This window comes from Homo sapiens, chromosome 15 (genome assembly GCF_000001405.40).
Source record: "Homo sapiens chromosome 15, GRCh38.p14 Primary Assembly".
In the NCBI taxonomy this organism is placed as follows: Eukaryota; Metazoa; Chordata; class Mammalia; order Primates; family Hominidae; genus Homo; species Homo sapiens.
Window position 1 is genome coordinate 28,151,376 of NC_000015.10, and position 21,994 is coordinate 28,173,369.

The 21,994-nt window shown below is 42.2% G+C and overlaps 1 protein-coding gene across 10 annotated transcripts in view; it reads right to left on the reverse strand.

Annotated features, from left to right (window-relative positions):
* HERC2 (HECT and RLD domain containing E3 ubiquitin protein ligase 2) overlaps positions 1-21,994 on the reverse strand; it is a 211,140-nt gene that overhangs the window by 40,336 nt on the left and 148,810 nt on the right. For all 10 annotated transcript variants that reach the window (XM_006720727.4, XM_006720726.4, NM_004667.6 and 7 more), the window contains 5 exons: positions 18,109-18,280; positions 17,032-17,215; positions 16,312-16,452; positions 11,719-11,910; positions 1,302-1,455 (listed from right to left, as the gene is read on the reverse strand). In XM_006720727.4, the coding sequence (XP_006720790.1) occupies positions 1,302-1,455; positions 11,719-11,910; positions 16,312-16,452; positions 17,032-17,215; positions 18,109-18,280 (843 nt within the window). The remainder of the gene's footprint in view (positions 1-1,301; positions 1,456-11,718; positions 11,911-16,311; positions 16,453-17,031; positions 17,216-18,108; positions 18,281-21,994) is intronic.

Sequence of the window (21,994 nt, forward strand, 5' to 3'; positions counted from 1 at the left end):
GGAGGATCACTTGAGCCCAGGAATTCGAGGCTACAGTGAGCTATAATTGCACTACTGCACTCCAGCCTGGATGACAGAGCAAGATCCTATCTCTAAACAAATAAATACATAAATAAAATATAAAAAATAAATAAAAGGAAAAAATTTTTAAGTATCAGTATGAACTCAAAAGAATCCAGGGCAGACCCCAGGTGAAGAGTGGCAACCTACAAAAAACCGAGGACACCTTGTGTAGACTGCCTGGACGCTACTGAAGACTACCAGAATCACTTCGGGAGCTACACTGAAGAGGCTGCCACTGTCTAGAAACAGGATAATCTCAGCTTCAACAAAGATAATAACAATAGAGTAAAACAATCACATATGTTCCAAGCCATGAGTTCATAATAACATTAAAAAAAAAAACAGGTCACCTTCAAGAAATAATAGGAAACCAATTCATTCTCTGGTAAATGGAAGAAAGAATCAAGCTTTTATCTTGTCTTTCTCAGGCAAACAGCACCTTGAACAACTAACTACAGGATGAAGGGAAATGCCTCTTTACAGGAAAGTATTCCAGCTAACAAATAAGCAAGAAATGATTCCACTAGAATAGCACCATTTGTAGCCCCTCATGGGCCAATAGCCTCGGGTGCTAATAAGCCTCAGGGACTGCTGATGTCACAAAGCAAAGACAGGCAGGCAGGAGGTGCCTGCTGAGGCTGAGTCACAACCACTAAGGAGCTGGCAAAAGGGGCGGAACTTATGGGCCTCCGAATCGGGCAGCACCTTGCAGAAGGACGGGCCTGAGGAACACACTGAACAGCAGCACACGTGTCCAGTCAGCAGATCCAGGCTGCAGTGAAGCCCGCCAGATCAAAGGCCGGGGCCTCAACAATTTTCTTCTTAATAATTTTTGTTGAGTTGTTAAAAACAAAAGATATACACGTGGGTAACAGAAGCTGTCCAGAAATGCAAGTCAGTGATGGATCAATATCAGGACAGCATCACTCAGAGGAACATCAGGGGATACACTGAGGGCTTCCAGAATTTGCCACAGGTTAGGTCTAGACTTGGGTCATGATGACTAGGGCATCTGCCTGATTATCATGAAGCTAAACATTTACTTTGTGTGACTTTCTATATCATGATTTATTGTGCAAAAGTAGTTTGTTAGAAAAGGGGAGAAAAGTGATTCTAAAGCAATTCTGTAACTTCTTTTTATAAAATGGAGATGGTTGTTTCTACTGAAGCAATTACAGAATCACATCATTCTGAAGGTGGGAAAGGCTGCAGCTCCCCGCTGGGGCCAGCCCCTGTACCTGGTATCTTCACTGTGCCACTGGTGGAGGTGTCGTCGGTGTAAGGGTGGCTACTCTCCACCACCACAGGCTGAGAAGAGAGGCGGCCGCTCTGCGAGTCTGTGGCCACATCCTCCAACTCGGTGACACAGAGCTCCAACAGCATATCTGCCACCTGGAGAGGAAGCAAGGACATGAATGAGGGGGCCAACAGCCCCACACCTGGTCACCTGCATGCCACCTCTGCCCGTCCTGCTCAGGAGCTCCACAAGGACAGCGTGGCAGAGTGGAGGGCTTGGAGTTTGAGAAATTGAGTTCAAATCAGGGCTTGGCTTCCTTGCACATAAAACAGAGACAGCACAGAGCCTGTAAGATGCTGTGAAGCTTAGGGATGATCTATGTTAAAAAGTCGTTGGGGCCAGGCACGGTGGCTCACGCCTGGAATCCCAGCACTTTGGAAGGCCGAGGCAAGCGGATCACCTGAGGTCAGGAGTTCGAGATCAGCCTGACCAACATGGAGAAACCCCATCTCTACTAAAAATAAAAACTTAGTTGGGCGTGGTGGTGCATGCCTGTAATCCTAGCTACTCAGGAGGCTGAGGCAGGAGAATCACTTGAACCTGGGAGGCAGAGGTTGCGGTGAGCCGAGATCACACCGTTGCACTCCAGCCTGGGTGACCCGAGCGAGACTGCGTCTCAAACAAAAAAAGTCATTGGGTGGAGCGCAGTGGCTCACACTTGTAATACAAGCACTTTGGGAGGTCGAGGCAGGCAGATCACTGGAGGTCAGGAGTTCAAGACCAGCCTGGCCAGTACGGTGAAACCCCGTCTCTACTAAAAATACAATTAGCTGGGTATGGTGGCCCGTGCCTGTAGTCCCACCTACCCAGGAGGCTGAGGCAGGAGAATCGCTTAAACTCAGGAGGTGAAGGTTGCAGTGAGCTGAGACTGCACCACTGCACTCCAGCCTGAGCGACAGAGAGAGACTCTGTCTCGAAAAAAGAAAAAGAAAAAAAAGTAGTTGGAAGGCTCCCAACACACACAACACTTAATATGTGCCAGCTGATAAAATGAAACACCGTGGTGACAATAGCTTCATTTTACACCAAGACAAGATTACTTCCTAGTGAGGAAAGTTGGCCTCGGAAACAAAAACATCAAGGGAAGGAGCACCCAGTAGGTGAAAATGACCACAATCCTAGAAGGCAACGGAGCCCGGTGGGAGGGGCGGGAATCAGGAACCATCAAGCCGCTCAGGCCAGACAGAGACAGGGAGAGTCTGTGACAGGAGGGACCGCCGACCCCAACACAGCTGCCCCTGCTGACCCAGTACACTAGGGGTCAGACCCATACCACATTCTCAACAATCCACAGTGTTCTTATTTTATTTTAAAACTTATTGATGATTCACATCTTTTACGATTAAGGTTAAGAGTGGTGATTATAAACTCTGTTATTTTTAAAAATAAATGAGAGAATACATCATAACAGCAATAATCTATTAACCCCAACATTTTTAATCCAGAAAAAATAAAACTCTTCTAATGCCCATTCTATACTTTTTAGAAATAGATTATTCTTTTTTCTATTATTCCTCATATTTAGGTAAGAAATAGCTTTGCTTAGTAAATATTATATATTAACAAACTAATATCATTGTCACATAGGCATGATTTTAAATCTAAATTTGTCTCTCTTTTTGAGTCCCAAATATCAGGTCAGGGCAGGACACAGAAATAGCCATCTTGCCAACCTGGCAAGGGCAGTTTGAAAACGGCCGTATCCTTATTCTTGTCTCTCCTGGAACCTGGCTGAGTAACTGAAAGCAGATGTTGGCATCATCAAGCGCCCATGTGCAGAGTCGATCAGGGGCTCTGGCCTTCAGAAGGTTGCTCTGCCAAGCACATCATCTGCAGAGGGGTCATGATGGAGCTGGGGCTCAGACACTCAGGGTTCCAACCCATCTCTTCCACCTACCAGCAAAGTGAGTGTCCTCAAGCCAGCAGTAACCTCTCAGCCTCAGTTTCCTCATCCATATATAAAGGTAACCCCTACCCTCTCTACTGAGAATGTGGGGATGTGCATGGCAAATGCTCAGCATTATTTTATATATATATTTTTTTATTATACTTTAAGTTCTAGGGTACATGTGCACAACGTGCAGGTTTGTTACATATGTACACATGTGCCATGTTGTTGTGCTGCACCCATTAACTCATCATTTACATTAGGTATATCTCCTAATGCTATCCCTCCCCCCTCCCCCCACCCCAAAACAGGCCCTGGTGTGTGATGTTCCCCTTCCTGTGTCCAAGTGTTCTCATTGTTCAATTCCCACCTATAAGTGAGAACATGCAGTGTTTGGTTTTTTTGTCCTTGTGATAGTTTGCTGAGAATGATGGTTTCCAGCTCATCCATATCCCTACAAAGCACATGAACTCATCCTTTTTTATGGCTGCATAGTATTCCATGGTGTATATATGCCACATTTTCTTAATCCAGTCTATCATTGTTGGACATTTGGGTTAGTTCCAAGTCTTTGCTATTGTGAATAGTGCCACAATAAACATATGTGTGCATGTGTCTTTATAGCAGCATGATTTATAATCCTTTGGGTATATACCCAGTAATGGGATGGCTGGGTCAAATGGTATTTCTAGTTCTAGATCCCTGAGGAATCGCCACACTGTGTTCCGCAGTGGTTGAACTAGTTTACACTCCCACCAACAGTGTAAAAGTGCTCCTATTTCTCCACATCCTCTCCAGCACCTGTTGTTTCCTGACTTTTTAACGATCGCCATTCTAACTGGTGTGAGATGGTATCTTATTGTGGTTTTGATTTGCATTTCTCTGATGGCCAGTGATGATGAGCATTTTTTCATGTGTCTGGTGGCTGCATAAATGTCTTCTTTTGAGAAGTGTCTGTTCATATCCTTCGCCCACTTGTTGATGGGGTTGTTTTTTTCTTGTAAATTTCTTTGAGTTCTTTGTAGATTCTGGATATTAGACCTTTGTCAGATGAGTAGATTGCAAAAATTTTCTCCCATTCTGTAGGTTGCCTGTTCACTCTGATGGTAGTTTCTTTTGCTGTGCAGAAGCTCTTTAGTTTAATTGGATCCCATTTGTCAATTTTGGCTTTTGTTGCCATTGCTTTTGGTGTTTGAGACATGAAGTCCTTGCCCATACCTATGTCCTGAATGGTATTCCCTAGGTCTTCTTCTAGGGTTTTTATGGTTTTAGGTCTAACATTTAAGTCTTTAACCCATCTTGAATTAATTTTTGTGTAAGGTGTAAGGAAGGGATCCAGTTTCAGCTTTCTACACATGGTTAGCCAGTTTTCCCAGCACCATTTGTTGAATAGGGAATCCTTTCCCCATTTCTCGTTTTTGTCAGGTTTGTCAAAGATCAGATAGTTGTAGATGTGTGGTATTATTTCTGAGGGCTCTGTTCTGTTCCATTGGTCTATATCTCTGTTTTGGTACCAGTACCATGCTGTTTTGGTTACTGTAGCTTTGTAGTATAGTTTGAGGTCAGGTAGCGTGATGCCTCCAGCTTTGTTCTTTTGGCTTAGGATTGACTTGGCAATGCGGGCTCTTTTTTGGTTCCAAATGAACTTTAAAGTAGTTTTTTCCAATTCTGTGAAGAAAGTCATTGGTAGCTTGATGGGGATGGCATTGAATCTATAAATCACCTTGGGCAGTATGGCCATTTTCACGATTTCCTATCCATGAGCATGGAATGTTATTCCATTTGTTTGTATCCTCTTTTATTTTATTGAGCAGTGGTTTGTAGTTCTCCTTGAAGAGGTCCTTCACATCCCTTGTAAGTTGGATTCCTAGGTATTTTATTTTCTTTGAAGCAATTGTGAATGGGATTTCACTCATTATTTTGCTGTTTGTCTGTTATTGATGTATAAGAATGCTTGTGATTTTTGCACATTGATTTTGTATCCTGAGACTTTGCTGAAGTTGCTGATCAGCTTAAGGAGATTTTAGGCTGAGACGATGGGGTTTTCTAGATATACAATCATGTCATCTGCAAACAGGGACAATTTGACTTCCTCTTGTTCTAATTGAATACCCTTTATTTCTTTCTCCTGCCTGATTGCCCTGGCCAGAACTTCCAACACTATGTTGAACAGGAGTGGTGAGAGAGGGCATCCCTGTCTTGTGCCAGTTTTCAAAGGGAATGCTTCCAGTGTTTGCCCATTCAGTATGATATTGGCTGTGGGTTTGTCATAAATAGCTCATTATTTTGAGATACATCCCAACAATACTGAATTTGTTGAGTTTTTAGCATGAAGGGCTGTTGAATTTTGTCAAAGGCCTTTTCTGCATCTATTGAGATAATCATGTGGTTTTTGACTTTGGTTCTGTTTATATGCTAGATTACGTTTATTGATTTGCATATGTTGAATCAGCCTTGCATCACAGGGATGAAGCCCACTTGATCATGGTGGATAAGCTTTTTGATGTGCTGCTGGATTCGGTTTGCCAGTATTTTATTGAGGATTTTTGCATCAATGTTCATCAGGGATATTGGTGTAAAATTCTTTTTGTTGTGTCTCTGCCAGGCTTTGGTATCAGGATGGTGCTGGCCTCATAAAATGAGTTAGGGAGGATTCCCTCTTTTTCTATTGATTGGAATAGTTTCAGAAGGAATGGTACCAGCTCCTCTTTGTACCTCTGACAGAATTCAGCTGTGATTCCATCTGGTCCTGGACTTTTTTTGGTTGGTAAGCTATTAATTATTGCCTCCATTTCAGAGCCTGTTACTGGTCTATTCAGAGATTCAACTTCTTCCTGGTTTAGTCTTGGGTGGGTGTATGTGTCCAGGAATTTATCCATTTCTTCTAGATTTTCTAGTTTATTTGTGTAGAGGTGTTTGTAGTATTCTCTGATGGTAGTTTGTACTTCTATGGAATCAGTGGTGATATCCCCTTTATCATTTTTTATTGCATCCACTTGATTCTTCTCTCTTTTCTTATTAGTCTTGCTAGAGATCTATCAATTTTGTTGATCTTTTCAAAAAACCAGCTCCTGGCTTCATTGATTTTTTGAAGGGTTTTTTGTGTCTCTATCTCCTTTAGTTCTGCTCTGATCTTAGTTATTTTTTGCCTTCTGCTAGCTTCTGAATGTGTTTGCTCTTGCTTCTCTAGTTCTTTTAATTGTGATGTTAGGGTGTCAATTTTAGATCTTTCCTGCTTTCTCTTGTGGGCATTTAGTGCTATAAATTTCCCTCTACACACTGCTTTAAATGTGTCCCAGAGATTCTGGTATGTTGTGTCTTTGTTCTCGTTGGTTTCAAAGAACAACTTTATTTCTGCCTTCGTTATGTACCCACTAGTCATTCAGGAGCAGGTTGTTCGGTTTCCATGTAGTTGAGCAGTTTTGAGTGAGTTTCTTAATCCTGAGTTCTAGTTTGATGGCACTATGGTCTGAGAGACAGTTTGTTATAATTTCTGTTATTTTACATTTGCTGAGGAGTGCTTTACTTCCAACTATGTGGTCAATTTTGGAGTAAGTGCGGTGTGGTGCTGAGAAGAATGTATATTCTATTGATTTGGGGTGGAGAGTTCTGTAGATGTCTATTAGGTTGGCTTGATGCAGAGCTGAGTTCAGTTCCTGGATATCCTTGTTAACTTTCTGTCTCATGGATCTGTCTAATGTTGACAGTGGGGTGTTAAAGTCTCCCATTATTATTGTGTGGGAGTCGAAGTCTCTTTGTGGGTCTCTAAGGACTTGCTTTATGAATCTGGGTGCTCCTTTATTGGGTGCATAGATATTTAGGATAGTTAGTTCTTCTTATTGAATTGATCCCTTTACCATTATGTAATGGCCTTCTTTGTCTCTTTTGATCTTTGGTGGTTTAAAGTCCGTTTTATCAGAGACTAGGATTGCAACTCCTGCCTTTTTTTGTTTTCCATTTGCTTGGTAGATCTTTCTCCATCCCTTTATTTTGAGCCTATGTGTGTCTCTGCACATGAGATGGGTTTCCTGAATACAGCACACTGATGGGTCTTGACTCTTTATCCAATTTGCCAGTCTGTGTCTTTTAATTGGAGCATTTAGCCCACTTACATTTAAGGTTAATATTATTATGTGTGAATTTGATCCTGTCATTATGATGTTAGCTGGTTATTTTGCTCGTTAGTTGATGCAGTTTCTTCCTAGCATTGATGGTCTTTACAATTTGGCATGTTTTTGCAGTGGTTGGTACCGGTTGTTCCTTTCCATGTTTAGTGCTTCCTTCAGGAGTTCTTTTAGGGCAGGCCTGGTGGTGACAAAATCTCTCAGCATTTGCTTGTCTGTAAAGGATTTTATTTCTCCTTCACTTATGAAGCTTAGTTTGGCTGGATATGAAATTCTGGGTTGAAAATTCTTCTCTTTAAGAATGTTGAATATTGGCCCCCACTCTCTTCTGGCTTGTAGAGTTTCTGCCCAGAGATCCGCTGTTAGTCTGATGGGCTTCCCTTTGTGGGTAACCCGACCTTTCTCTCTGGCTGCCCTTAACATTTTTTCCTTCATTTCAACTTTGGTGAATCTGACAATTATGTGTCTTGGAGTTGCTCTTCTCGAGGAGTATCTTTGTGGCATTCTCTGTACTTCCTGAATTTTAATGTTGGCCTGCCTTGCTAGATTGGGGAAGTTCTCCTGGATAATATCCTGCAGAGTGTTTTCCAACTTGGTTCCATTCTCCCCATCACTTTCAGGTGCACCAATCAGTCATAGATTTGGTCTTTTCACATAGTCCCATATTTCTTGGAGGTTTTGTTCATTTCTTTTTATTCTTTTTTCTCTAAACTTCTCGCTTCATTTCATTCATTTGATCTTCAATCACTGATACCCCTTCCTCCAGGTGATCGAATTGGCTACTGAAGTGTGTGCATTTGTCACGTAGTTCTCATGCCATGGTTTTCAGCTCCATCAGCTCCTTTAAGGACTTCTCTGCATTGGTTATTCTAGTTAGCCATTCGTCTAATCTTTTTTCAAGGTTTTTAACTTCTTTGCAATGGGTTCGAACTTCCTCCTTTAGCTCGGAGAAGTTTGATCGTCTGAAGCCTTCCTCTCTCAGCTCATCAAAGTCATTCTCCTTCCAGCTTTGTTCCATTGCTGGTGAGGAGCTGCGTTCCTTTGGAGGAGGAGAGATGCTCTGATTTTTAGAATTTTCAGTTTTTCTGCTCTGTTTTTTCTCCATCTTTGTGGTTTTATCTACCTTTGGTCTTTGATGATGGTGATGTACAGATGGGGTTTTGGTGTAGATGTCCTTTCTGTTTGTTAGTTTTCCTTCTAACAGTCAGGACCCTCAGCTGCAGGTCTGTTGGAGTTTGCTGGAGGTCCACTCCCAGACTCTGTTTGCCTGGGTATCAGCAGCGGAGGCTGCAGAACAGCGAATATTGCTGAACAGCAAATGTTGCTGTCTGATCGTTCCTCTGGAAGTTTTGTCTCAGAGGGGTACCCGGCCGTGTGAGGTGTCAGTCTGCTCCTACTGGGGGGTGCCTCCCAGTTAGGCTACTCGGGGGTCAGGGACCCACTTGAGGAGGCAGTCTGTCCATTCTCAGGTCTCAAACTCCGTTCTGGGAGAACCACTACTCTCTTCAAAGCTGTCAGACAGGGACATTTAAGTCTGCAGAGGTTTCTGCTGCCTTTTGTTCGGCTATGGCCTGCCCCCAGAGGTGGAGTCTATAGAGGCAGGCAGGCCTCCTTGAGCTGCGGTGGGCTCCACCCAGTTTCAGCTTCCGGGCCGCTTTGTTTACCTACTCAAGCCTCAGCAACGGTGGACGCCCCTCCCCCAGCCTGGCTGCTGCCTTGTAGTTCGATCTCAGGCTGCTGTGCTAGCAATGAGCGAGGCTCCGTGGGCGTGGGACCCTCCGAGCCAGGCGCGAGATATAATCTCCTGGTGTGCCATTTGCTAAGACCGTTGGAAAAGCACAGTATTAGGGTGGGAGTGACCCAATTTTCCAGGTGCCTTCTGTCACAGCTTTGCTTGGCTAGGAAAGGGAATTCCCTGACCCCTTGTGCTTCCCAGGTGAGGCGATGCCTCGCCCTGCTTCAGCTCATGCTCGGTGCACTGCACCCACTGTCCTGCACCCGCTGTCCGACAAGCCCCAGTGAGATGAACCTGGTATCTCAGTTGGAAATGCAGAAATCACCCATCTTCTGCGTTGCTCACACTGGGAGCTGTAGACTGGAGCTGTTCCTATTCAGCCATCTTGGCACCGCCCCCCGCTCAGCATTATTTTAAATCAAAGTTCTCATTCATACCCTTCCCTCTCACAAATGCAATAAACTTATGAAAAATAATAATAGTGCTTATGGTAATTCACCTTGATTTCATCTCTTAGAATTATGCCAAGTAACTTGTCTCAAAAAACTAGAAAAAAGGATACCTACAGCTTTTTAGTTCTTCATGAATAGCAGATGAAGAAATAACAAGCCCCTAAAATATCTACCAAACTCTGCTGCGCTTTCAAGACTGCTCAACTCTACTTAAGTACTTTATCGTTTTGGTGATCATGTAAGTTACTAAAATTTCTGACCATCAGAGCTTTAACGTTTCAGAATTTCAGATAAAGGAGTATGAACTTACATTTAATGATTTTTTTTTTAAATATAATTCTACTTAAAAACTTCAGAAGTTCCTTTAAAGAGAATATTCTTCTAACTAAAGCCAAAAATCCTAATAGGCACAGAAACTGCCTAAACTAAGTGACAGAGTAAGACTTTCCTCCACACAAAGTAGGCACCCAGAGAAACGGATGAAGTGTCTGCAGCCAGGAAGGACATCTCAGGCTCCCTGGCAGGGCAGAGCATGGCTGCTGATAAAGAAGAGTTCTTAAGGAAGCCCACGGCCTTTACGACTGATCAGTCCTATTTCTAAGACATACTAGTAAGACGCTCACTTTATACTGCAGACCTACAGACCAATTCAGCAGCTACTAGCCACATGTGCCTCAAGTTGAGTGTTTTAAAACCTTCAGTTCCTCAGGTGCACTAGCCATATTTCAGTGTGCAGTGGCCATATGTGGCTGGTGCCAATGGTCCCAGATGGCTCCGGTCCAGAACATTTCCACAATGACAAAGTCCTACAGACCCAGTGCTACCAAATATTAAAAGACATTTTAAAGCTGTAATAGTTAAAATACCATAGTATCAGAACCTAAGAAGTTTTGTAAATAGACCCAAATGCATACAGGAATTTAGAATATGATAAAACTGGTTTTTAAATCACCAGGGAAAAGATGAGTTATTCAATAAATGATGTTAGGGCAACCGGTTTACCATCTAGGAAAAAAAGTAAAGTTGGATACCTACTTTATTCTTACATCAAAATAAATCCCAGGTGGCTAAAAAATGTAAACAATACATGAAATCATAAAAAATTAGAAGAAGGCCGGGCATGGTGGCTCATGCCTGTAATCCCAAGCACTTTGGGAGGCCAAGGTGGGTAGATCACTTGAGGTCAGCAGTTCCAGACCAGCCGGGCCAACATGGTGAAACCCCATCTCAACTAAAAATACAAAAATTAGCCAGGCATCGTGGCGCATGCCTGTAATCCCAGCTACTCAGGAAGCTGAGGCACAAGAATCACCTGATCCCGGGAGGTAGAGGTGATCCTGGGAGGCTGAGATTGCGCCACCGCACTCCAGCCCGGGTGAAGGAGACTGTCTCAAAAACCTTAGACGAAAACTTGGAAGAATTTATTTAAAACAATGTCACATAAGCAAGCATTTTTTTTTCAGCATAATACAAAACTCAGAAGGCATAAATGAAAAAAACTGACAGATTTGACCACATAATAATTAAAAATTTCTACATGGCAAAAAATATCAAACTAATATCAAAAAATAAACTGGGGTGGAAACTGTAAGACATATGATAGAAAAGGGACTTAAAGAACTTTGACAAATCATTTTAAAAAGATGCACAAATCAGTTATAAAACAGGTAAAGGGGCCAGGTTTGGTGCTCACTCCTGTAATCCCAGCACTTTGGGAGGCTGAGGCAGGTGGATCACGAGGTCAGGAGATCAAGACCATCCTGGCTAACATGGTAAAACCCCGACTCTACTAAAAATACAAAAAAAATTAGCCGGGCATGGTGGTGGGCACCTGTAGTCCCAGCTACTTGGAAGGCTGAGGCAGGAGAATGGTGTGAACCCAGGAGGCAGAGCTTGCAGTGAGTCGAGATGGCGCCACTGCACTCTAGCCTGGGCGACAGAGCGAGACTCCGTCTCAAAAAAACAAAAAACAGGTAAAGGATGTCACTGGGTTAAATGCTAAAACGTTTTGCTCTAAAGGAGTGCTCCTAACCTGCAGTCTACTAGGATGAAACCCAGCACAAGATCACCGGTGATCCATAGCAGCTCTCCTTTGGAGAGGAGGGTGGCCCAACATGGAGGAGGTGGAATCAGACGGCCCCGCCCTCCCTGAGACTCACCTGTGGGTAGGCGGTCCCCATGCCGGAAAGCACCGCGGAGAGCACATCCCTGCCCCTGTCCCCGGCCCGGCTGCACACTGACAGCTTGAGCAGGTCTACCACCACACGAGTGTCATCCGCAATCAGCAGACTGGTGAACTCATCCAAGGCCTGAGGCTCCGGACCTGCTGCTTTATTTTGGCTTTCAACATCCTAAGTCAAATGACATCCAACAATTAACATGAGGAATGATATGCTAAGAGATAAAGAGTCACCAGTTTACCCATAAACTCAGAGAACACATGAATACCAACGAGTAAGAAACCTGAAGGTGTTTAAGACCTTAAGAAACAGATTAAGAAACGACGGCCCCTAAAATCTCCACCAAGCCATGTACTATGTTTTCAAGACCAATTAACTGTTGTATTACCAATGGCATTTATCAAAAAGGGATGACTTAAGCTATAAAGAAATGACAATTTATTACTGGGACCAAGTTTGGATCATAAGCAGATACTACAGGGGGAGTTTTGGAATGAAGCTGCATCCTGTATAATCTACCCATAAGATACGCTAGGGAATCGTTTACAAACTAAATTTGTATTCTCTAATTGTATACATTTTGTCTAGATCCTCTCCATAATTCTTTCCTGGAATCTTATTTCAAGCAACTCACTGGCATTAACACACTATCCAGTCTCTCTCTCTCCTTGGGTTCATTGAAAACATCATACATAAAAGTCTTCTCATTACCACTCGTGTACTTCCCATTCCTGCCATGTCAGCCTAAACATACCACATCTTGATCCTTCAACTCCTCTCCTTGTTTGCTATGAGCCAATTCCCAGCATCACTGCACCCCCAGCTCCCACCCTATGGAGGTGCCTTGCCCAGGATGGCCGCCCCCACCCTGCTTGTTGGCACACAGAAGCCTCCTGGAGGGCAGCACTGGGGCTGAGCTTGTGGAAACGGGAAAGGCCCTTGTCAGTGCCAGGGACTCCCACCGCTTCCGACCCAGCATGGGAACCGCTGTGACCCTGTGCAGAGCAGGAGTGTGTCAAGCCCTTCTCATTCCCCAGGCAGAGTCTGGCTCCCCAGAGGAAGATCGAGAGCCAGGGAAGTGCCGCTTTTCTCTCCTGCTTTCTGGACCTCAGCAAATCCAGTGCAACTCTTTCCACAAACATAAACAGGCTGGGGGAAGGACAGCCCCACATGTTCCCCTTAAGGGGAAAATGACCCAACCAGTGGACCCTGGAAACCACACCACTCTGATTTAGGAACAAGGTTCCTCTCCCTTTTGGGAAACAGACCTTGCTCCTGCCTCTGCATGGAGACACAAGGAGTAAGGGAAATTCATTATAAATGATGACATTCCAGAACATAACTCACTGAAGGACAGCAAAAGCATTCAGTGAAACATATTAACAAGAATATCTTTAGTCTTGAGATTGAAATGTACCTACCATTTTTTTTTATGAGGGTGTCTTAAAACATGCACACACACAAACACAGAAAATATGTCTAGAAGAATTGCTAAGGAAGAAAATCACTAGCGGCATATCCTTAAATATGAATTATAGCTTAATACTAACATTAAAATTGCTTTGCCTTAAATTCATGAGTCAAGCCAAAACTGAAATAATAGAAATACAGGGTTGCAACCTGGATAATGCCTATGTCTCATAAATAAATTGGGGGGAAATAAATCATATTATCCTTTTACCTAAAACAAAAATGTTGCCTTCCTCAGAATAAGTTCTGCATTAAACCCTCAAACCAGGAGACTGCCAAAAATTAGAAGTTGATTCCAGGCACCTAATTCATAAATAGAGGCTTTCTTACTACCATGGATGGTTATAAATAATTTCTGTAGGACATATTTTCTGCCAGCAGTAACAGCATAATAAATCAAGGGTTCCAAATGTAATTAAAAATAAAGTGTTTGCCCTCAAGGTGGAAAGGCTGGCAAGGGAGTACACATGAGCAGGGGCTGGCCTGGTGTGGGGAGCGCCTCAGCGGGCTGGGGAAGGCATCCACACATGGGGGGTTGGAGAGACACAGCCAGGCCAAGTGAGGAAGGTGCCACACTCTGGGTCAACATGGAGGTGAGGGGAGGGCCAGAGGTCACGTAGGGTGACCATGGAGGACCATGGAGGCAGACTGGTTCTGAGTGCCAGAGGATGTACAGAGGAAGAAAGGTGCCCACCACGGAGTGGGGGACAGCCAAGATCGGAGGTTGGTTATCTAAGGGGACTGAACTGTAAGTAAATAGCCTGCTGATGACAGGAGCCAGGTTTCCCACTTTCAGAGAAGGAAGTTATAAATACAGAAAGGGTGAAAACTAGAATGAATCTTAGTTGGGTTACAATCAATCATATTGGTGTGAACCGGTGGTTTTCCATGTACGTAAATATATAACAACACAAATACTGATGTAGGCCAAACACGGTGGCTCATGCCTGTAATCCCAGCACTTTGAGAGGATGAGGCAGGCAGATCACTTGAGCCCAGGAGTTCAAGACCAGCCTGGGCAACATGGCAAAACCTATCTCTGAAAAAAAAAGAGAAAAAAAAAAATACAAAAATTAGCCAGGTATGGTGGTGCATGCTTGTAGTTCCAGCTACTTGGGAGGCTGAGGATGGCTTGAGACCAGGAGGTTGAGGCTGCAGTGAGCCAAGATCGTGCCACTCTACTGCAGCCTGGGCAACAGAACAAGACCCTGTCTAAAAACAAAACAAAAACAAAAACTGATGTATGTACCTATTATGTTACACACACACATATTCATTCTCTAGCCCTGTCACCCAAACAGCAACAAGCACACAAAGGGCCCAGATCTTGACCTCTAAATGCCCTTCTCCACCAGAAAGAACTAGGACTTCTCAGAAACACAACTGATTCCTATGTTGGAGCATAAAACATCTTATTGAGCCTGGAATTTTGTGTTGTGCCAAAAAGTAAGGAAATACTCAAAGAATGATGGGAATATGCCAGAAGAACACATAAAATTCTACCAACTACTTAAAGAAGAATTAACCCGAATGCTTCACCAACTCTTCTAAAAAACAGAAGAGAAAGGCACACCCTCCAACTCAATCTATGAAGCCAATATTGCTATAATATCCAAACCAAAGACATCACAAGAAAACTACAGAGCCGTATCCCTTATGAATACAGATGTAAAAATCTTCAACAAAATAGCAGCAAACCAAATCTAGCAACATATAAAAGCATTATACACCAAAAAAATATGGAAAAAGGGAGAGTAGGAATAAGCCCTGTGGTACTGGATTGGAATTAAAAGTACTGATTTGGGCTGTTAATGGTTTTTATTATATAGATAAATGCAGAAGGATAAATAAATGTTCATGTGTATAGGTCTATTTGCTGAGAGGGCCTAACCAAAGACACTCAGTAACAATTAGCTTACCAAGCACCCAGATCTCGGTTTCCAAATCCTACAAGCCACTAGCAGGAACCATGGCTTCTTGAAGAAATGGCTGATTCCAGGCAGGGGGAGGGTAGGTGAAAGATAAGTCTAGAGCACAGTTGTGCCAGAAATGAAGGAAGAGCCCTAAAAATTATGGGGACACATCAGACAATGGAACCAGTCCACAGGGATCCCAATGACCAGTCCACGGGAGTCCCAATGACCGGGTCCCAGTGACCAGTCCACGGGAGTCCCAGTGACCGAGTCCCAGTGACCAGTCCACGGGAGTCCCAGTGACCGAGTCCCAGTGACCAGTCCATGGGAGTCCCAATAACCAAGTCCAGGACCATTTGGGTGTCAAATAATGATAGCAACAAACGTCACTATTTGACTAAAACAGGAACTCCTGATTCTATACAATATAAAAAGACAGGTAGGTAGGTAGGTAGAAGACAGACGGATGAGAAGGGAAAGCTGTCTCTTGCAAAAGAATGGCAACAATTACATTCCAGAAGTAACAATAAATGTGAACAATGAAAATGTGACAACCACCACAGTAATAATGGATTCAGCTAGAATCTTTAAGATGCTAAAAACTGGGAGGTAAAAGTATGATGAGGAACAAGACATTGACATAATCTCAAAAGTATCTCCCCATGAGTACTTAACACACTTACTGACTTCCAGTGGAGAAACTTGGCAGAGACCCTTAACCAAGTGATAAGCTATCTCACCAATGATGCAGCAAATCAGCAATGCGTGAGTCCTAATGGAGGCACTGAAAAGAATTCTGCACCGTTCCTGTGGTGTCTGTCAAAACGAAGAACTGAAGGACTGTTCCACACTGAAGACTAAAGAGGCAACATGCAATCCTAGGTTGAGTGCTAGACCTTTAAGGATACTATTGGGATGATGAGCAAAATCTGAATATGTCTGTGGGTTTGAAAGTAATCCTGGATCAAGCTGCAGTCCTGATACTCAAGGAATACACGTGGAAGCAGTAAGCAGTGACAGGGACCGTGTCCTGCGGCATTCCCACAAACGCTTCGAAGATGCTAACAAGTGGACAGCCGAGGTGAATGGGATAGGAATAGACTGTGTTCCACTCCTAAGTTCTATTTCTACTTCTGTGTACATTTAAGATTATTTCACAATACAAAGTTAAAGAAGAACGCCTCTTCACCTCTTTGGTTTTGGTCATGGTTTCTGCAATGATGCTTGCGGCTCCCAGGTCATCCGTCACTGGGATAAAAGGCCGAGCGGAGGCTGAGGGGGCCGACGGAGTCACTGCAGAGGGGGTCACTGCGTCCTCAGAGGAAACAATCTAGTCCAAGAGTGCACAGTAGGGGAAGTTTAAGTGGAAAAACTCAGCAACATAACACATTTCCTATGCAAGTCCCAAATGCTTTACCTAAAACTACTTGGGCTGTTTAGAATGTTCCAGATTTTACAGAGGTAACATGGTGCCCACCAGACATAGCCACTACCACCCCCAGTCAGGCCTAGGACAGTTTTGCAAAGTCAAGCACATTCATATTTTCAAGAATAACTATTAATATTCACAGCAGGTCACATGAACCAGACTAAAATGAGTTCACATATCTTCGAGTTGGTTCTTTCCCCCAAAATGTTACTAAAATTCTTGACTGTCAGAACTTTAAGGTTTCAGAATTGCAGATAAAGGACTGTGAACTTGATTTAATGGTTTTTTTAATAAAAGAAAGCCAATTCCACTTAAGCACTTTAAAAGCTCCTTTACAGAGAATATTCTTCTAAGTAAAGCCAAAAATCTAAGCGGGAGGCACAGAAACAGCCTAAACTAAATGACACAATGAGACTTTCCTAGACACAAAGTAGCCACCTTTTCCTTTCTGATCTAACATTGCTTTAGATTCGCTTTTACCTCTCTCTTTTCTTGCCATGGATTTGGACTCAGTCTGTCTTCGATATCAACAGCCAGCATGCATTCTTCTCCATTCATGGGACTAGCCATCGCAGATGCGTCGGAAGGGGCCGCCGAGGAGAACGAGGGGCACTCCACCGGGGCGATCATGGCGGCCGGCATCAGGGCCCCGACAACAGCATCTCTGTCAGGACACAAAGCCAGGCCTGTGGTGAGCTGCCCCTTCTCCACTGCAGCACAGGAAGTGGAGAGGCAGGGCTAGCACGCACTGAGGCGTTTCCTCATTTTTACTGAATACATGTAGAAGAGTTTTGGAAAACTACCAAACATTATTACCATGTATCCTTTGGCTAATAGCTAAAATGTTTACTCTGGATCCTATTTATTTGAAAAACCAGAGTAATGGCAGGTGAAAAACTGCCAAACATAAAAACCAGACCAGAATGAGACTCTGGCTCTCCCTGAGAAAGAAATCCTCTTGGGCTGCTGTGAGAGCCTGAGGGCTGGATAATTGACCAGCAGGCAATTTTGTGTTTACTGAAAGCCACATACTGAGCAGCAACGACTCAATGGCCTCTACTGAATGACTGTTTTTGTTCTGAAACTAATTTTCCTATGTAAGGACACCTGTCAGGTCCACATGTGTGATACATTAGTAGATGGGAAACTTATCTAGGCTGTGGGAAAGCAGCAGAAAAATACTGCAAAATGCCGCACTGGCAAAACTCAGCCTTCTCAAGTGAGCGAAGGGGATGCTAAGTCGTCTTAGACATCACTATAAATTAGTATCACCTAATTCTTCTTTTCTTCCCCCAAATATTGATGGTTCGAGTCTACTGGTCAAAAAGAATAGTGAAAATGTTCAAGTTAGTTTTCTAATTCATATTTCAATGCCCATTAAGACACACACTAAGATATCACCAATCACCATCAAAGAACTTGTGACTTACAACATACAGCATTTAAAGACAATAATACAACATTCTTGGAGACATCTGATCAACGAAAAGAAAAAAAATCACAAAAATGTGAAGCTCACATAATTGCAGAATTTCAAAAATTAGCACAGAAGCCTACCTGGCATACATGATTTGCAATGCTGTAAGAATATGTGATAAGGCCTGCTGTTTGGCCAGATTTCCATCCAATGACAAGAGAATCTTGGCAAGAGAAGGGCGATTTGGCTTAGAATTACTTGCACCACTTATTTTATTACTGGCAGCAGAAGAATCAGCATCTGAAGGCACGCCTATAAGAGGAAAATAAAATTTGCATTGTTTTTAAAATCACAGTTTGATCTATTTCTATAAAATCTGACCTTACAGGTTAGTTCCAAAACACACTGCAATCTGCATTTTGCTATTTCACAAAGCACCTATCAGGCTCATTAATAGGCCTTCAAAATAAGAAAACCACTTATCCATACTTCGATAAAGAAGCTATTTTCAGCATAGTTCCACTGTAACTGCAAAAAGATGTAGGTGCTTTTATAAAATGCACTTACAACAGTTTATGTTATATACATATAAACTATGAAAATGCTACAATAACTACCTGTATTTTCTTACCCCGGTAAGACAAGACAAAAAAGAATACAAAACAACAAAGAGAAAAGATGTTCACCAATAAAGTCTCATCAGGCTCACTTCGTTGTGAACTCCCAGGTCTCAGCAGAAGGAGGGAGCCAAGTAGAGCTGGGACATGTGTCTATGTCAACTCATCCAAATTGATACACAGATTTAATGCAATTCCCACCAGAATTCCAGCAAGAGTTTTTGTCAACAGACAAGATTATTCTGAAATGTACATGGAAAGGCAAAGGAGCAAGAATAGAAATAGAAAAATAAGGAGGAGGAATGAGTCTACCCAATTTCAAAAGTTGTAATACCATAACCAAAACTGTGTGGTACTGGCATAAGAATCAATGGAATAAACAGAGAACCCAGAAACAGAACCACACAAATATGCCTCACTGACTGTTGACAAACGTGCAAAAGCAACTCGGAGGCAGGACAGCCTTTCGGCATATGGTGGTGGAGCAACTGGACGTCTGTGGGCAAAAAACCCAAACTTCAGCCTAAGTCTACACCTTATGCAAAATTAAATCCAAATGGATCATGACTTCAGTAGAAAATACAAAACTATAAATCTTTTAGAGAAAAATAGGAGACAGTCTTTAGGAACTAGCACTAGGCAAAAATATACTTAGACTTGACACCAAAAGTATGATCTATAAAAGAAAAACCTGATGAATTAGACTTCATCAAAATTAAACACTTTCGTTCTATGAAAGGAAACGAAAAGACAAGCTAGAGACCAGGAGAAAATATCTGCATAACACACATCTGCCAAAGGACTAGAAACATCTAGAATATATAATGAACTCTCTAAACTCAACAGAAAAAAAAAAAGCCAATTAGAAAAGGGCATGAAGACATATTTTACCAAAGAGGAGATATGGACAGTAAATAAGCACATGAAAAGATGGTTAACATAATTAGCCATAAGGAAAATATTAAAACCACAATGAGATACAATGACCTATCTATCAGTATGGCTACATTTTAAAAAGATGGTGAGGATATGGGAAAAACTGGATCATCCTCCACTGCTAATGAGAATATAAAATGGCACAGCCATTCTGGAAAACGGCTTGGCAGTTTCTTATCAAACTAAACATAATTACCATATGACCAACCATCACACTCTTGGACATTTATGCCAAAGAAATAAGAACTTATTTTCACGTAAAGTAAATTTTCACATTCACCTGTATATGAATGACATGGCAGTTTTATTTGTAATAGTCAAAACCTAGAAATAATCCAAATGTCCTTCGATGGTTGAGTATTCGATGGAATACTGAACATACTATGTAATATGTAACAACTTGGATGAATAGCCAGAGGATTAGGCTGAGCAGAAAAAGCCAGACTCAAAAGTTATACATATAATGTGACATGAAAAGAGCTATACGTTAAGAAGATACTGAGTAATTTGAACCAGAAAGGAGAAGATGAGAGTCAAGCATTATCTTCATCTACCCCAGAAAAGAAGACAGCACAGGAAGGTGAAGCCACTCGCCCCAGTTCATACAGCCAGTAACTAACACAGCCAGAAGATCACATTCCAGTTATTCATAAAAGCAGATGCTGCTGGAGCCTAAATGTCCCCTCCTGAGACAGAAGGGGAAAAAACAAAATATTTGTATGACAAGATGAAGCTCACTTTTTTTAAAAAAAAAAGCAATTGTACTTATTTCTACATGCTAGCAAAGAGCAATCTGAATATTCCCATACAGAAGAAATGATATTTTTAAAAGACCATTTAATAATCTGAAATTCTTAGAAATAATCTAACAAAAGACAAGCAAAACCTATACAATAGACCGGGTGCGGTGACTCACGCCTGTAATCCCAGCACTTTGGGAGGCCGAGGTGGGCGGATCACGAGGTCAGGAGATCGATTCTGTCCTGGCTAACACGGTGAAACCCCGTCTCTACTAAAAATACAAAAAAATTAGCCGGGCGTGGTGGCAGGTGCCTGTGGTCCCAGCAACTTGGGAGGCTGAGGCAGGAGAATGGCGTGAACCCGGGAAGCAGAGCTTGCAGTGAGCCGAGATTGCGCCACTGCACTCCAGCCTGGCGACAGAGCGAGACTCCGTCTCAAAAAAAAAAAAAAAAACCTACACAATACTGGGACTAGAAAACATTGCTGAGAGAAACTAAACACCTAAAAAATAAAGAGAAACACTATGTTCATGGGTTAGAAGACTGAATACTGTGAATCCATCCTTTCCACATTGACTTACAGAATTAATGCAATCCACATCAAAATCCCAAGCAAACGATTTTATAAAAACTGACAAGCTCATTTTAAGTTATATGGAAATGCAAAGGGCCTACAACAGCCAACATATATTTGAAAAAGAACAAAGCTAAAGAACTCTTGCAACCTGAGTTCAGGTCTTTTATAAAGCTGTGGTAATCAAGACAATATGTCATTGCCACCAAAATCCACAAATAAATCAATGAAACAGTACTGAGAGTCCAGAAATAGATCCATACATCCATAGACAACTGAATTCTCACAAAGGCAAAAGGCAATTCAGTAGGAAAAGCGTAGTTTTTCAACAAATACAACTGAAACAACTGGACAATCATGCCAAAAAAAGCCTTTCAATCTGAACCTCCCACCATATATAAAATTTAATCAACTGGTCATAGATACACATATCTAAAACTACAAAACTTCTATAACAGAACATAGAAGGAGAATCTTTATAATCTTGAGGCAAAGGTTTTGTAGACACAACATCAAAAGTACACTCTACAAAAGAATAAAATGAATAAACTAGGCTTCATCAAAATTAAAAACTTCTAATCTTTAAGATTCACCTGTGAAGAGAATAAAATGACAAGCCACACTGACAGAAAATACTAGCAAATTCTATATTAGGCAAAGGACTTGTAACCCAGAATATATAAGAAACTCTCAAACTCAGTAAGAAAACAATCAACCTATTTAAATATAGGAAAAGACTTGAACAGACATTCACCAAAAAAGGTATCTGATTCGTAAATAAGCAAGATGCTTGAGATCATTAGTTACTAGGGAAATGCAAATTGAAACCACAATGAGATACCACCATACGTCTATCAGTATAACTAAAATTAAAGACTGAACGTATCAAGGGTTGACAAAAATGTGGAGGATGTGGACCTCTGGAACATCCACTTTGCAAAACAGTATGTAGCGATCTTAAGAAGCTAGACGTACACCTGCCATATGATCCATCCACTCCTCTCCTAGGAGTTTACCCAAGAGAATTTCAAGTGGATGTCCATACACAAACTTGTATGGAAATGTCCATTAGCAATTTCACTTGTATAGTCAACTGGAAACAGCCCAAACATTCATCAACAGATAAATGGATAAACAAATTGCATTTGTTTATCTTAAG